Genomic DNA, 14,336 nt, shown 5'->3' with positions numbered 1-14,336 from the left:
CCGTTTCCGGTGGGATCCAGCCATGCACAAGACCAAGGGGCTGGAGCGTTGGGAACAGATGATTCTGTGTTCCACGGATAATGGTACAAAGTGACTGGTCACAGATAAGGTGTAAGCACAGCATTTGAAGACAACTCCTCCAGATGGTCCATCTGTTAGTAAATTCTTAAGAGCTTAGAGCCTTGAGGATTGAGAAATTCTAAAGAAATTTTTTTAAAGAAGGAGGGTGGTAGATGTCAAAGACACAAGAGCTCTTTGTAGGTGCTGACTAGCTTACTTTGTCCCCAGGTTCATCTTAGAGCTCAAGCAGATTCAAGACATGAGGCAGAGATGCTAGACTTGTGTCAGGGGCAAAAACTTCTGATAATAGCTCTTGGTGACATCAATCGTCAGCTCCTGAGTGCACTCCACGAGCTCTCCTGAGAAGCATCCTGGGCAGCCTGAGAAGACAGTGAATGGTGGGACCACAGTTTCTGGAGGTAATGCTGTGTTGTCAAGAATTTTGCAGCAGTCTTTCAACAAACACCGGCACCCAATCACGCAGTTCTTGCCAACATGAATGCAAGAACCAATCTGAGCTGCGTTGACCACACACTCTTCCTCAATAAAGACATGGTCCCCAATATGTAAAGGAAAGAATTCAACACCTTTGCTGAATTTCTTGAATGGTGGCCTTATGACACTACAACTTTTCACAACACAATGGAGTCCATCTCTTATGTTTTCCAGATCCCCTCAGATAATACAGTCATTCACCACATGGTCTTGCGATTGAGAAGTATGTTCTGGCTTCCACACAACACTGACTGGAGACTGACTTTGTTCCCAGATGCCGTCTTGATATACTCAGACTTGTTGTAGAGCAGCTCACCTAACTCCATGGTCACCGCCTCCTTCCTTCAGCCCCGGATCCTGTCAGAGTCAGTCAGTCAGTCTTTCTGAGATTCCGGCTACTTCTGCCATTCCAATATTTCTATCTGGCCATGTCCTTTCTCTGCTGAAACCCTTAAATGAGGCCACAAAGGCCAGGGGCTGTGCTAAAAAGCATGGTCTCTGAAGCTGGACTACCTGGTTTCAATCCTGACTCTCATTTCTAGCACAGGTTTCTCATCTGTAAAAGGGGAATAATAATAGCCCCAGTCTCTTAGAGTTGCTTTAAAAACTGATTGAGGTTAGTAGTAGGCTTAGGACAATATCTGGGATAGAGTAGACATCTGTAAACACTTGTTGTTCCCCACTCTTTGCTATTTAAAATCCAAGCTTCTTAAATGGTCGATAAAAGACTTTACAGTCTGTTCCACTTACCTTTCCAGCCCCATCTCCCAGTCTCCCAAGCCAGCACACACTGCTTCAGACACACTGAGCCTCGTGCAAACCCTGAAATCACCTCTCTCTCTCTCTCTCTCCCTCTCTCTTCCCTTTCTCTCTTTCTCCCTCCTTCCTTCCCCATTATCTCTTTGCCTGCCCAACTGCTCCTTGCCTTCCCAACCCCTGCTCCACACTGGGTCAGTGCTCTCTGTACCCATGTCACTTCCTAAGCTATGTTCTCATTCTCTTTTTTCCACTAGCCTAAAAACCCAGTTGTCTTCTCAGCATGTTGCACAGTGCCTGTTACCTACTAGGTGCTCAGTAAATATTTGATGAAAGAACAAATGTCCAAGCTGTATGATAGATTACTCATCAGCCGTATTTCCAACTCCCCAGTCATTCTGAATACAATCATTGTTTGGAATTAGCTCTCTGCACCAAAAGGAAGCTGCTTCTCTCACAAGGATGTCCAAATCTTAGATAGAAAACAGGGACTGTGGCAGGGAAGAGGCAGAGGCAGAGTCTGGGTCAGCAGAAGACAGCAACCATGAGCAGACCTGGACTCTGTCCTCAAGACTGGAATATGCCAAAGAGCACAGGACCCTGAAACATTAGGGAAGGGCCTCTGGACTGCTAGGTGGTATCAGAGACCTGGCCTTGCCACTAACTTGCTGGACAACCTTCAACAAATCATCTTTGCTCTCTGGGCCTCAGTTTCCTCACATATGCAATGAAGGATTTGAGTTTTATGCTCTCTAAGGATTCTTCCAACTCTAATGAAGTGTGTCTATGATTCAAGTCATGTCATTCCTCCTTTCCAAACATCTGCAGTGGCTCCCCATCACCTGTGGAATCAAGAATCAGCCAGAAGCAGTGGCTCACTCCTGTAATCTCAGCACCTGGGGAGCCCAAGGTGGGAGGATCGCTCGAGTCCAGGAGTTTAAGAATAGCCTAAGCAATGTAGTGGGACCCCTTCTCCACAAAAATTTTTTAATTACCCAGGCATGGTGTCATGCGCCTGTGGTCCCAGCTGCTCAGGAGGCTGAGGTGGGAGGATCACTTAAGCCCAGGAGGTCAATGTTGCAGTGAACCATGGTCATGCCACCACACTCTAGCCTGGGTGACAGAGCAACACCCTGTCTCAAAAAACAAAAAAAAATCAACACAACACTGGCTAATAGGATTGTGTACTCTCACTTTGGCCTGTCCCTAACTCCCAACTTCCACTCAGTTCAAATCTTGCCCTTTGTGCCAATTCAGTACATCTATTCCCTATTCCCTCATCAGCTGGTTATTCTTCTACCGACAGTGACTTCCTTCCCCTCTGCCAACCTGACATCCTCCCACTTTTCAAGATCCAACTCAAATCCCAACTCCTTCATGCCACTTTCCTCAGCCAGCCCACCCAGGGGGCTTTGGCCTTCCCCGTTGGTCTCCATTTACAGGTTTTATACATGGTACCATATTGCCTTATGTATTGCCTCCAATCTTGCCTTCATTGATCCCTACGTATTAGTATCGTCTTTTCATAAGGAATATGTGCTTCTCAAGAAAGGGGCCCTATCTTTATTTTTACACCTTTCTCTCACCCCCTGCCTCCTATTCTGTTAGCCAGAGAATTGTATTGAGTAAACACAGGTTGGCTAAATAAGTAACTCTCTGACAGAATTATATATCTTCCGAGCATTCATAAGTGTTCAGAAAATGGTGCTATGTGCCATAATATTTAGGGAGCCCTGGTTTTCCTGAAGATAGTTTTCAAAAAACAAGATGCCTCCGAGTTTGCCGATGGTCTCATAAATAACTATGCAGTCACCTCCCTTGTACACCAGCAGCTCTTTCAGCTAAGAGATCTACACATTCTGAGCTCTCCTCTCCTTACCACCTCCCAACCTCATCTCCATAAGTCCATGGTCACAGCATTGATGTTTTGAAAAAAATCAAAGCTTAGAGGAAATGTAAAGAGAATAATCTATCAAACTGCCCCATCCTCTTTTGGGCCCTCTGCCTGATTTAAATCTACCTCCAGATTTGTGGACCCCATACTTTTCATGACTAATTTTACTTAAGTAGACTCTCTTTACTGCCATTTTTAAAATAATAATTTCAGGAAACTCATTTTCTCACCCAGTGGCATGTATTATGAAATACCCAGTACTGCTGTTTCTTTCACGAGCCTTCCAGTAACAGAAGAATCTGACGCTCCCCTCTTTCCTTTCCTCCATTCTTTCCCTGCCCAAGCTTTCCATCTGGCATCATCATCATCATTACCATCCTAACAGTGCTAGCCACAGCTGACACAGCCCTCTCATGGCCCTTATCTATTTCACCCTGCTCCAATTGCTGTCAGTGCACAACCAAGATTCTCAGGGGCCCTCGTCTCCCTTCCCCTGCCGGCCACTCCACAGCTACAGCATTCCCAGGCCACCACATGATTTCTGTGGATAAAGTGACCCACTCGTGGTAGAGGAAAGTGTCACAGAGTGGCAGGAGCCAGGAAAGGTGGCAGGGAAGGGCTGTAACAAGAGGACAGACATAAAGCTAAAACCCAAAGATCAAACTGAATGGCTGGTAGAAATACCAGTCCCATTTAGAAAACTGCTTCTACCCCTGTGGATGTCATTGCCAGCTTGGAGTTTTCTTAGTGTCATGATAAGGTGAAAGGTTGGGACAAATGCTGACAGCAGCACTTCCTTTCCTTCAAACACCAGGTGGTGCCAGATACAGATTTCTTTCAGCCGTAAGTCAACCTAGTGACAGAGAGTAGTCGTCCAATGAAGCTCACAGAGCAGCCTTCATGTACAAAGGGATTGTGTTCCACTCGTGTCCAAGTCCATTTCTGTGAACTTAAAAATGCATTTTCCCATAGAATTGTTTTTATAAAAGGTGGCTGCGTTCCAAAACCACCTGCAAAAATTCCCATCCAAAATGTAGTTGAAAGAAAAGTCACCTAGTAGGGAGAGACAAATAACTCTGATACTAGGAATGAATGTCAAAGATGATTTTAAATAATGGGTAAAACTAGATAGGGAGTTCTTTGAGTGCATGATTTTTTTCTTATTTAATTATTTTTCTGCTTTCCCAGTCTTAGCCGACTGCCCATCACTAAATGTTTTTACTCATTTCAGTGCTTGAGAAAAAAGCAGTTTTCATTAAAATTGTATTCAGATGTATCTAAAAACTTGTGTGGATTTTCTTTTTTTTTTTTCTTTTATTTGAGACAGTCTCACGCTGTCACCCAGGCTGGAGTACACTGGCACAATCTCAGCTCACTGCACTCTCCATCTCCTGGGTTCAAACGATTCTCCTGCCTCAGCCTCCCAAGTAGCTAGGATTACAGGAGCCCACCACCACACCCAGCTAATTTTTGTTTTTTGGTTTTTTTTTTTTTCAGTTTCACCGTGTTGGCCAGGCTGGTCTCGAACTCCTGACCTCAAATGACCCACCCGCTTCAGCCTCCCAAAGTGCTGGGTTTACAGGAGTGAGGCACCACGCCAGACCTGGCTTTTCTAAAATGACTCCCAGGATTTTTGATCCTGACTATACCAGTTGCCTAATTTCACCCTCAGATATAGAACTTTCCTTTCCACTGATGTTTTGATGGCAATATTCATGCATTTATCAATGATAATTTAAAAAATGGTCTACAAATGGACTAAACAAATAAAAGAGATAAAGGAGGAAAAAAGAAAAGGAAGTAAAGGAGGGAGATTCTTCTAAAGTACCTGGGCAAAATTCCAGGGGATAAGGTGGGGAATATTGTTAAGCTAGAAAGGAAAGAAAGCAAGAGGGAGAGAGAAGAAAAAAGGGAAGAAAAGAGAGAAGAGGAGAGGGAGAGGGAAAGGGAGGAGAAGAGAAAAACCAAGACAAGCAAGACAGGGGAAAGGAAGCGGGCAATGCATTGCATGTTCTTCCAGGTAGGGAAAGAAAGACTGTGGCCAGGACAAGATATTAGAGCTGACACTGCCACCTGCCCCTCTCACAGTCCACCTTGACTGGGTGGCTTATGTCTGCCTGGTGTGGTTTGAGCGTATCTATGTGGCTGTGCTGGAGGGCAAGCTTACATTGGTTTCATGCTTACGGAGTTTCTCTACTTCAAAAGTAAACATTACAGTGAGTTAGAGAAGAGCAAGCTCTAGCCTAAGGAATCTACTATTGGCATTTTACAAAGGTAATGGTGAAATTCACCTTTCTTTTTCCCATCTGCATGATGGGAGAATATAGTACAGTGTTTAGAGCTCAGGCTCTGGAGTCAGACAAAGGCTTAGAAATCCAAGCTCCTACTCTTCCTTGCTCTGGGACCTTGGGAAAGTTACTTAATGATTACTGACCTCCGTTTCCTCACTTACAAAATGGAAAAAATTATATCTTCCTCAAGGAAATGAAGATTAAAAGAAATATCACATGTAAACAGCCAGGTACCATGCTTGGTATCTGATACATTTTTTAACATGGTAGCCATTATTTTTCTTACCATTATAGAACAGTAATTGGTGTCACAAGATTATTAAGGCTACCATGAAAACTAAATAATCTCGTGCCAGCAAAGTGACACATTACATATCACCAACCAGCATAACTGGGAGTTGAAGAACTAGCAAAAAGAGAAGCTGCTGAATGGGGACTGAGCGCAAATCCACAGTATGAGCCAGATCTGCAGGGCAAGCCTGTCCTCCCAACACCTGGAGCTCAATGGGAATATGAGCATTCATGTGGTGGGGAAGTGGGGCAGTACACAGGGGACTTCTGCCACACTGTCCAGCTGGCCAGCAACTAACTGTCTTAGTCCATTTGTGCTGCTAAAACTAAATACCTGAGACTTGGTAATTTATAAAGAACAGAAATTTATTTTCTCACAGTTCTGGAGACTGGAAAGTCCAAGATCAAAATCCTGGTATTTGGTCTGGTGAGGACCTTCTTGCTGCAACCTCACATGGCAGAAGGTGGGAGGGCAAGAGAGAGCCGAAGAGCAGGTTAGCAAGCCAACTGAATGCTGGCAGAAGCCTCTTTAATAAGTGCCTTGATCCCATGAATGACAGAGGAGCCCTTATGGCCTAATCACCTCTGAAAGGCTCCCATCGCCTAATACTGTCATATTGGCACCACTTGAATTTTGAAAGCGACGTATTCAAACCATAACAGAAACCCACATTCTATTTGGAAGAATTTCTCATTTTTGTGAATCTTGGTAAGAGAGAGTCTGCCTCCTACATACTACAGGAGCCAACTGAACTCTTTCTTCCAGAGATGCCAGTAGGGATACCAGTACCATTTAGAAAACTGCTTCTACCCCTTTGGATGTCATTGCCAGCTTGAGGTTTTCTTAGTGTCATGATAAGGTGAAGTGTTGGAACAAATGCTGACAGCAGCACTTCCTTTCCTTCAAACACCAGATGGTGCCAGATACAGATTTCTTTCAGCCATAAGTCAACCTAGTGACTTAGAGAGTAGTCGTCCAATGAAGCTATGAGTTATGAAAAAAAGCACCTTGGTTTCCTGCCTCATGACCCACAGGAGCCAACCCGGTTCTGTTTTCAGTGATGGGTATCTGAGTTACCGGCAGCGAATGTGTACAAGTCTGAAGCAACCTCAATTCTTGCCTCCTCAGAAGAAAAAAATTGACTGAGGGACATAAGGCAGAAGAAGAAACTGAGGCAAATTTTAGAGCATGAGTGAGAGTTAATTAAAAAGCTTTAGAGCAGGAATGAAAAGAAAGTAAAGTACACTTGGAAGAGGGCTAAGCGAGTGTCTTGGAGGACAAGTGTGGGATTTGATGTTTTGGCTTGGAGTTTTATATGTTGGCATACTTCTGGGGTCTTGCATCCCTTCTCCCTGCTTCTTCCTTTGGGGTGGGTTTTCTGCATGTGTAATGGCCTGCTAGTGCTTGGGAGGGGAACGTCAGTGTCTTTACACATGCTCACTTGAGGCGTTCTTCCCATTCCGGTGCAATGCCCACAGAAGGTCATATACAAGTTAAACTCCACCATTTTGCCTCTTAATGCACATGCTTGAGCTCACTCGCCCAACTCCTGAAATTTTATCAGGAAGCTACTGATCACCAGTTTCAGGTTTTTTCTATCTATAGGGAGACTGCCTTTCCCTGGCACTGGCTGTGACCAATTATTATTTTAGAGAGACAGTTGAAAACCACCTGATCATCACCTGATGGTTGCCCCACATTATTAGGCAGATCCACCTCCTGCCCTGCTCACACCTGACTAGCTACTTACTGTAACAATTCCTGCATGCTTGTCATGCCTGATTGTTCAGCTTCCCAAGGAGTTGCAAGCCCCAGATTCTATTTCTGTTATTTAAACCCAGAAGAGTCTGACCTGGCACCTTATAAGGTCAGTGGACTCAATAGTTCCTCAGTTGCACTTCTTGCCCAGTGATGACCTTGGTCACTTTATAAGATCATTTCCCTCTTCAGAAACTACAGAGCATCTTGACAGTCCAACATCCCAACCAAAGCAGAGATAAACTGTACCTCACTCCCAATCAAGGACCCACCAGCCCCTTCGTCAACACCTGAGTTATGGTTACTGAGTACTTAGGGAGGAATTCTTCTAAGTCCTTTGCAAGAATTAATTTATTTAGTGCTTGCACTACCCTACAAAGTAGATACAATTATTATCTTATCCCCTGTTTCATAGAGGAGGAAATAGAGTTCAGAGAGGTTAACACACGTACCTAAAGTTACAGGAAAGAAACAGGACTAGGCTTTGAACCCAGGCAGTCAGACTCCACAGCCTAGCATCATACACCAACTTATACTGCTTCTCAAAAGCTGCCTAAAAATAAGTACACAGAGTTATTTAGTGCTAACATGTGCTATGAAGAAAAACACAGTAGGGAGATGGGTAAGGAGAAAAAAAGAGTGATGGGCTGATCTTTTTGTAGGATGCTCAGAGGAAGGCCTGTTAGAATGGAGTTGCTATAAACTGAGAGAGTGAAGAGTGAAGAAGAGTGGGTTTGGAGAACTATTTCTGGCCTTTGGTGCCACTCAGAACTACTCAGTCACACTTCTATATAAAATATCTTCCAAGATCTGAATAAAACTCTCTCTTCTCTACCCTTCCATAAATCACCCCATAATTTTGTGCAATGCTCACTTTCCAGTGTTGTAACCACCTTGAAGACCTGCTTTGACCACAGCCCTGACTCTCAATGTCTTCCTTAAATGGTAAGTCTGCCACCGACTCCAGACTCAGACCCAACAGCACACAGGCAAGTTCTTTACACTCAATCTAGACCTTGCCTGCCTCTGAACTCTCATTGTCTGTAGCTGCTGTATCTTTTGGCTCCCAGATCTTTTCCCACGAACAGTTCTCATTCTATATTCTTTCTTCATATGAGTCAAGGATAAAATTCTTGAACAGGACAAAGTCAAGGTCCAGGACAGAGTCCTCTGCCTCAACCAGAGACCATCCCACAGGCTGAGAATGGATGTTGTTTGTTTCAACAAATCTGGGTACATCTGACAACAATAGCATCCAGTCATATATTATACACTCTTCTCCACCAAGATAGCCAGAATGCACATTCCTGAATGTCAGGCAGAAATGACAATACATTGTATCCACAGATGTCCCTCAGCTTACAAATTAGTTGCTCTGTTTTAAAAAGTAGAATGATGTTAATTTCTTATATGTTCTTCCTGTAGGAATTTATCCCTCCGTCTATTTCAAATATGCATAATCTCTTTAAGAAATGGGTATTTGAATGTTATCTGTGTCATAACTTGCTTATCTGCCTGTCGCTCTCTGTGATTTCTCAGCTGTTATCTGCAAAGCTCTGAAGTCATATCTGCATATTTCTTCAGCAGAGCTCACCACTGCCTTGCCTGGGTTGAGAGTGGCCTGCCTCTTTTTAAATTCTCCCTTCTCCGTTTTGTAGAAAAGCGGACTTGCAGCAACCCCTTTTTGGAACACATTAGGAAATAAGTAAGCATGAATAAATGCAATATGAGAATCACAGGAGAAGATTTTTTTATCTTGAATCAACTTCTTCATGTAATGAAGACTTCTGGATAAAAACAAAATTTCAAAAGCCTTTTCTATTATGCTCAGCAGTTTTTATAAGCCTTTCTTTCTGGCAACTTTTCCAATCATGCTTTTTCCTAGAAATCAAGTCTAATGTCCTTTCCGTTTCTTGCAAAACTCCTTCTGCCAGTGATACCCTGGATTCCAGGGCAGGGGAAAGCTCACTCCAGGGGCCAGACCCAGCTTCTCCTTGACTTGGTGTGTGATCTGTTTTGAGTCATTGTGTGACTTCATGACACCACCCACAAATCAACCACCAGCTCACCACTCCGTTCCTATGGTCTGTCTTAAAGGAACTTGGTAGAGGTATTAGAGCAATGAGATGGTACGAGTCTGAATCAACACTTGAACATTTCCCCTCAAGTTAAAGGAGAAAAAATGATACACACTACAATGAAGAAAATAAAACACAGTATAGTTACCTAATTAACACTTCACTGCCATTATGTAAGCATGACCGGACAACAGACTGCTTAAGGGCAGTAAACCCTGCTTTCTCCCAACCATTTTAAGGTTTTATAGGGAATGAAATGATGCATTTGGGAAAATGGTTTAAAAAATGATAGTGCTGGCCATATTGCCCAAAATAATTTATAGATTCAATGCTATCCCCATTAAGCTACCATTGACTTTCTTCACAGAATTAGAAAAAAACTACTTTAAATTTCACATGGATCCAAAAAAGAGCCCATATAGCCAAGACAATCCTAAGCAAAAAGAACAAAGCTGGAAGCATCACACTACCTGACTTCAAACTATACTATAAGGCTTCAGTAACCAAAACACCATGGTACTGGTACCAAAACAGATATATAGACCAATGGAACAGAGCAGAGGCCTCAGAACTAATGCCACACATCTACAACCATCTCATCTTTGACAAACCTGGCAAAAACAAGCAATGGAGAAAGGAGTCTCTATTTAATAAATGGTGTTGGGAAAACTGGCTAGCCATATGTAGAAAGCTGAAACTGGACCCCTTCCTTACGCCTTATACAAAAATTAACTCAAGATGGATTAAAGACTTAAATGTTAGACCTAAAACCATAAAAACCCTAGAAGAAAACCTAGGCAATACCATTCAGAACATAGGCATGGGCAAGGACTTCATGACTAAAACACCAAAAGCAATGGCAACAAAAGCCAAAATTGACAAATGGGATCTAATTAAACTAAAGAGCTTCTGCACAGCAAAAGAAACTATCATCAGAGTGAACAGGCAACCTACAGAATGGGAGAAAATTTTGCAATCTATCCATCTGAAAAAGGGCTAATATCCAGAATCTACAAGGAACTTAAACAAATTTACAAGAAAAAAACAAACAACCCCATCAAAAAGTGGGCAAAGGATATGAACAGACACTTCTCAAAAGAAGACATTTATGCAGCCAACAAACATATGAAAAAAAGCTCATCATCACTGGTCATTAGAGAAATGCAAACAAAAACCACAATGAAATACCATCTCACACCAGTCAGAATGGCAATCATTAAAAAGTCAGGAAACAACAGATGCTGGAGAGGATGTGGAGCAATCAGAACGCTTTTACACTGTTGGTGGAAGTGTAAATTAGTTCAACCATTGTGGAAGACAGTGTGGCAATTCCTCAAGGATCTAGAACCAGAGATACCATTTGACCCAGCAATCCCATTACTGGGTATATACCCAAATGGTTATAAATCATTGTACTATAAAGATACATGCACACATATGTTTACTGCAGCACTATTCACAATAGCAAAGACTTGGAACCAACCCAAATGTCCATCAATGATAGACTGGATAAAGAAAATGTGGCACATATACACCATGGAATACTATGCAGCCATAAAAAAAGAATGAGTTCATGTGCTTTGCAAGGACATGGATGACGCTGGAAACTATCATTCTCAGCAAAGTAACACAGGAACAGAAAACCAAATACTGCATGTTCTCACTCATAAATGGGAGATGAACAACGAGAACACATGGATACAGGGAGGGGAACATCACACATCAGGGCCTGTTGGGGGGTGGGGGGCTAGGGGAGAGACAGCATTAGGAGAAATACCTAATGTAGATGATGGGTCGATGGGTGCAGCAAAGCACCATGGCACGTGTATACCTATGTAACAAACCTGCACGTTCTGCACATGTATGCCAACATTTAAAGTATAATTTAAAAAATGATAATGCCTAATGCTAGTAGGCTTATGGCAAAATCAGTGCACTCATTTATTGCTTGTAACAAATTAAATTGATCAATCATTTTGAATTGTTAATGCAACGCATGAGTCAATAAGAAGTTCACAACTTTCAACTCAGTCATCCCACTCCAAGGAACTTACCCAGAAGAAATAATTGAAGAAAAAAAAGAAGGCAGAGGAGGAGGAGGAGGAGAAGTGTGTGTGTGTGTGTGTGTGTGTGTATTTTTATATACACACATACATACTTATACATACAGGCTCAGAGATACTCATTACAGCATAATTTTCAGCCTTGCGAAGTCCCAGGTATGCACTCAAAAATATTTGCTGAAAACTCAGTAAGTCCAACAGTCTAATAATGATTTAACAAATTTTGGTACATTAATAAGATGAAACATTATACCAAAATTAAAATTATAATAGGAAGTCTATTAAAATATGGAGAAGAGGTCAGACGTGGTGGCTCACGTCTGTAATTCCAGCATTCTGGGAGGCCAAGGCGGGCAGATCACATGAGATCAGGAGTTAAGAGACAAGCCTGGCCAACACGGTGAAACCCCGTCTCTACTAAAAATACAAAAATTAGCCAGGCATGGTGGCACACACCTGTAATCCCAGCTATTTGGGAGGCTGAGGCACAAGAATCACTTGAACCTGGGAGGCAGAGGTTGCAGTGAGCCAGGATCCCACCATTGCACTCCAACCTGGGCAACAGAGCAAGACTTCACCTCAAAAAAAAAAAAAAAAAAATATATATATATATATATATATATATACACATGTATATACACATATATATACACACACACATATATGTGTATACACACATGTATATGTGTGTATACACACATGTATATGTGTATATGTGTATATATATATTTATATATATATACACATATATATTTATATATACGCATATTTATATATGTGTATATATGAAGATTGCATAGTATAAAATTAAATAAAAGTATCACATTTCAAAACAATATACAAATTAATTGCAATTACAGTCATTCCTCAATATATGTGGGGGCATGTCTCCACGATACCCTAGTATACCAAAATCCATGTATATTCAAGTTCCATAGGGCTGAAGTACCTACATACATGAAAAATCAGCCCTCTGCTTACCCAGGATTTGCATCCCATGAATACTGTATTTTGATCCACATTCCTTTGAAAAAAAATCCACATATAAGTGGACCCACACAGTTCATGCTCACATTGTTCAAGGGTCAACTGTAAATAAATGTGTATACATAAGGAGAATGATATGCTGAAATAAAAATAGTTCTGAAAAATGAAGGCAGAAATTTTTTAAAGTTTCTGAAATTAATGAAAATAAGAACGCAGCTTACCAAAATTTCCGGGATGCAGCTAAAGCAGTGTTAAGCACTGCTTTATAACACTAAAAACCTTCATCAAGAAGTTAGAAAGATCTCAGATTAACTGTCTAACTTTGCACCTAAAGGAACCAGGAAAAAAGAACAAACCAGCTACAAAGCTAGCAGAAGAAAGGAAACAACTAAAATTAGAGAAGAACTGAATGAACTTGAGATGCAAAAATTCATACAAAAGATCAATGAGACCAAAAATTGGTTCTTTGAAAAAATAAACGAGATTGATAGACGACTAGCTAGATTAACAAAGTGTGGTGGCTCACATCTGTAATCCTAACACTTTGGGAGGTGGCAGGAAGATCCCTTGAGCCCAGAAGTTCAAGACCAGCCTGGGCAATATAGGGGGACCCTGTCTCAAGGAAGGGAGGGAAGAAGGAAAGAAGGAAGGAAGGGAGGGAGGGAGGGAGGGAGGGAGGGATGGAGGGAGGGAAAGAAAAGAAAGGTCCAAATAAGTACACTCAGAAATGACAAAGATGACATTACAATTGATCTCACAGAAGTATAAAAGATCCTCAGAGAATAATATCAACAACTCTATGCACATAAATTTTAAAAATCTGGAGGAAATGGATAAATTCCTACAAAGACAGTCTCCCAAGATTGAATCAGCAAGAGATTGAAACCCTGAATGGACCACTATTGAGCTCTGAAATTGAATCAGTAATACAAAGTCTACCAACCAAATAAAAGGCCTGAACGAAATGAATTCACAGCCAAATTCTACCAGACATACAAAGAACTGGTACCAACACTATTGAAACTATTCCAAAAAAATCAAGGAGGAGGGTCTCCTCCCTAACTCATTCTATGAAGCAAGCATCAGCCTAATACCAAAACCTAGCAGAAACACAATGAATAAAGAAAACTTCGCGCCAATATACCTGATGAACATAGATGCAAAAATCATCAACAAAATACTACCAAACCAAATCTAGCAGCACATCAAAAGTTAATACACCATGATTGAGTAGGCCTTATACTTAAGAGGCAAGGTTGGTTCAACATATGCAAATAAATAAATGTGATTCACTACATAAACAAAATTAAAAGCAAAACATATGATCATCTCAATAGACACAGAAAAATCTCTTGATAAAATCAAATATCCCTTCATGATTAAAAACCCTCAACAGACTAAACATTGAAGGAACATATCTCAAAACTATAGAAGCCATCTATGACAAACCCACAGCCAAAATCATATTTAACAGGCAAAAGCTCGAAGCATTCCCCTTGAAAACTGGAACAAGACAAGGTGCCCACTCTCACAACTCCTGTTAAACATAGTACTGGAAGTCCTCACTGGAGCAATCAGGCAAGAAAAAGAAATAAAAGGCTTCCAAATAAGAAAAGAAGTCAAACTTTGCCAACAATATGATTCTATACCTAGAAAACCCTA

At 41.6% G+C, this 14,336-nt stretch overlaps 1 pseudogene, besides 1 other annotated feature; it reads right to left on the bottom strand.

Annotated features, from left to right (window-relative positions):
- On the bottom strand, positions 760–957 carry LOC441914 (dynactin subunit 5 pseudogene; annotated as a pseudogene).
- Positions 1,550–1,844: a silencer, noted in NCBI's record as "tiled region #2596; K562 Repressive non-DNase unmatched - State 7:EnhWF". NCBI's record gives its function as "represses a minimal TATA promoter and a strong SV40 promoter by Sharpr-MPRA in K562 cells {active_cell/tissue: K562}" and the evidence as "EXISTENCE:reporter gene assay evidence [ECO:0000049][PMID:27701403]".

The sequence above is a fragment of the Homo sapiens genome, chromosome 1 (genome assembly GCF_000001405.40).
Source record: "Homo sapiens chromosome 1, GRCh38.p14 Primary Assembly".
In the NCBI taxonomy this organism is placed as follows: Eukaryota; Metazoa; Chordata; class Mammalia; order Primates; family Hominidae; genus Homo; species Homo sapiens.
This window is presented reverse-complemented; position numbering and strand designations above follow the sequence as displayed.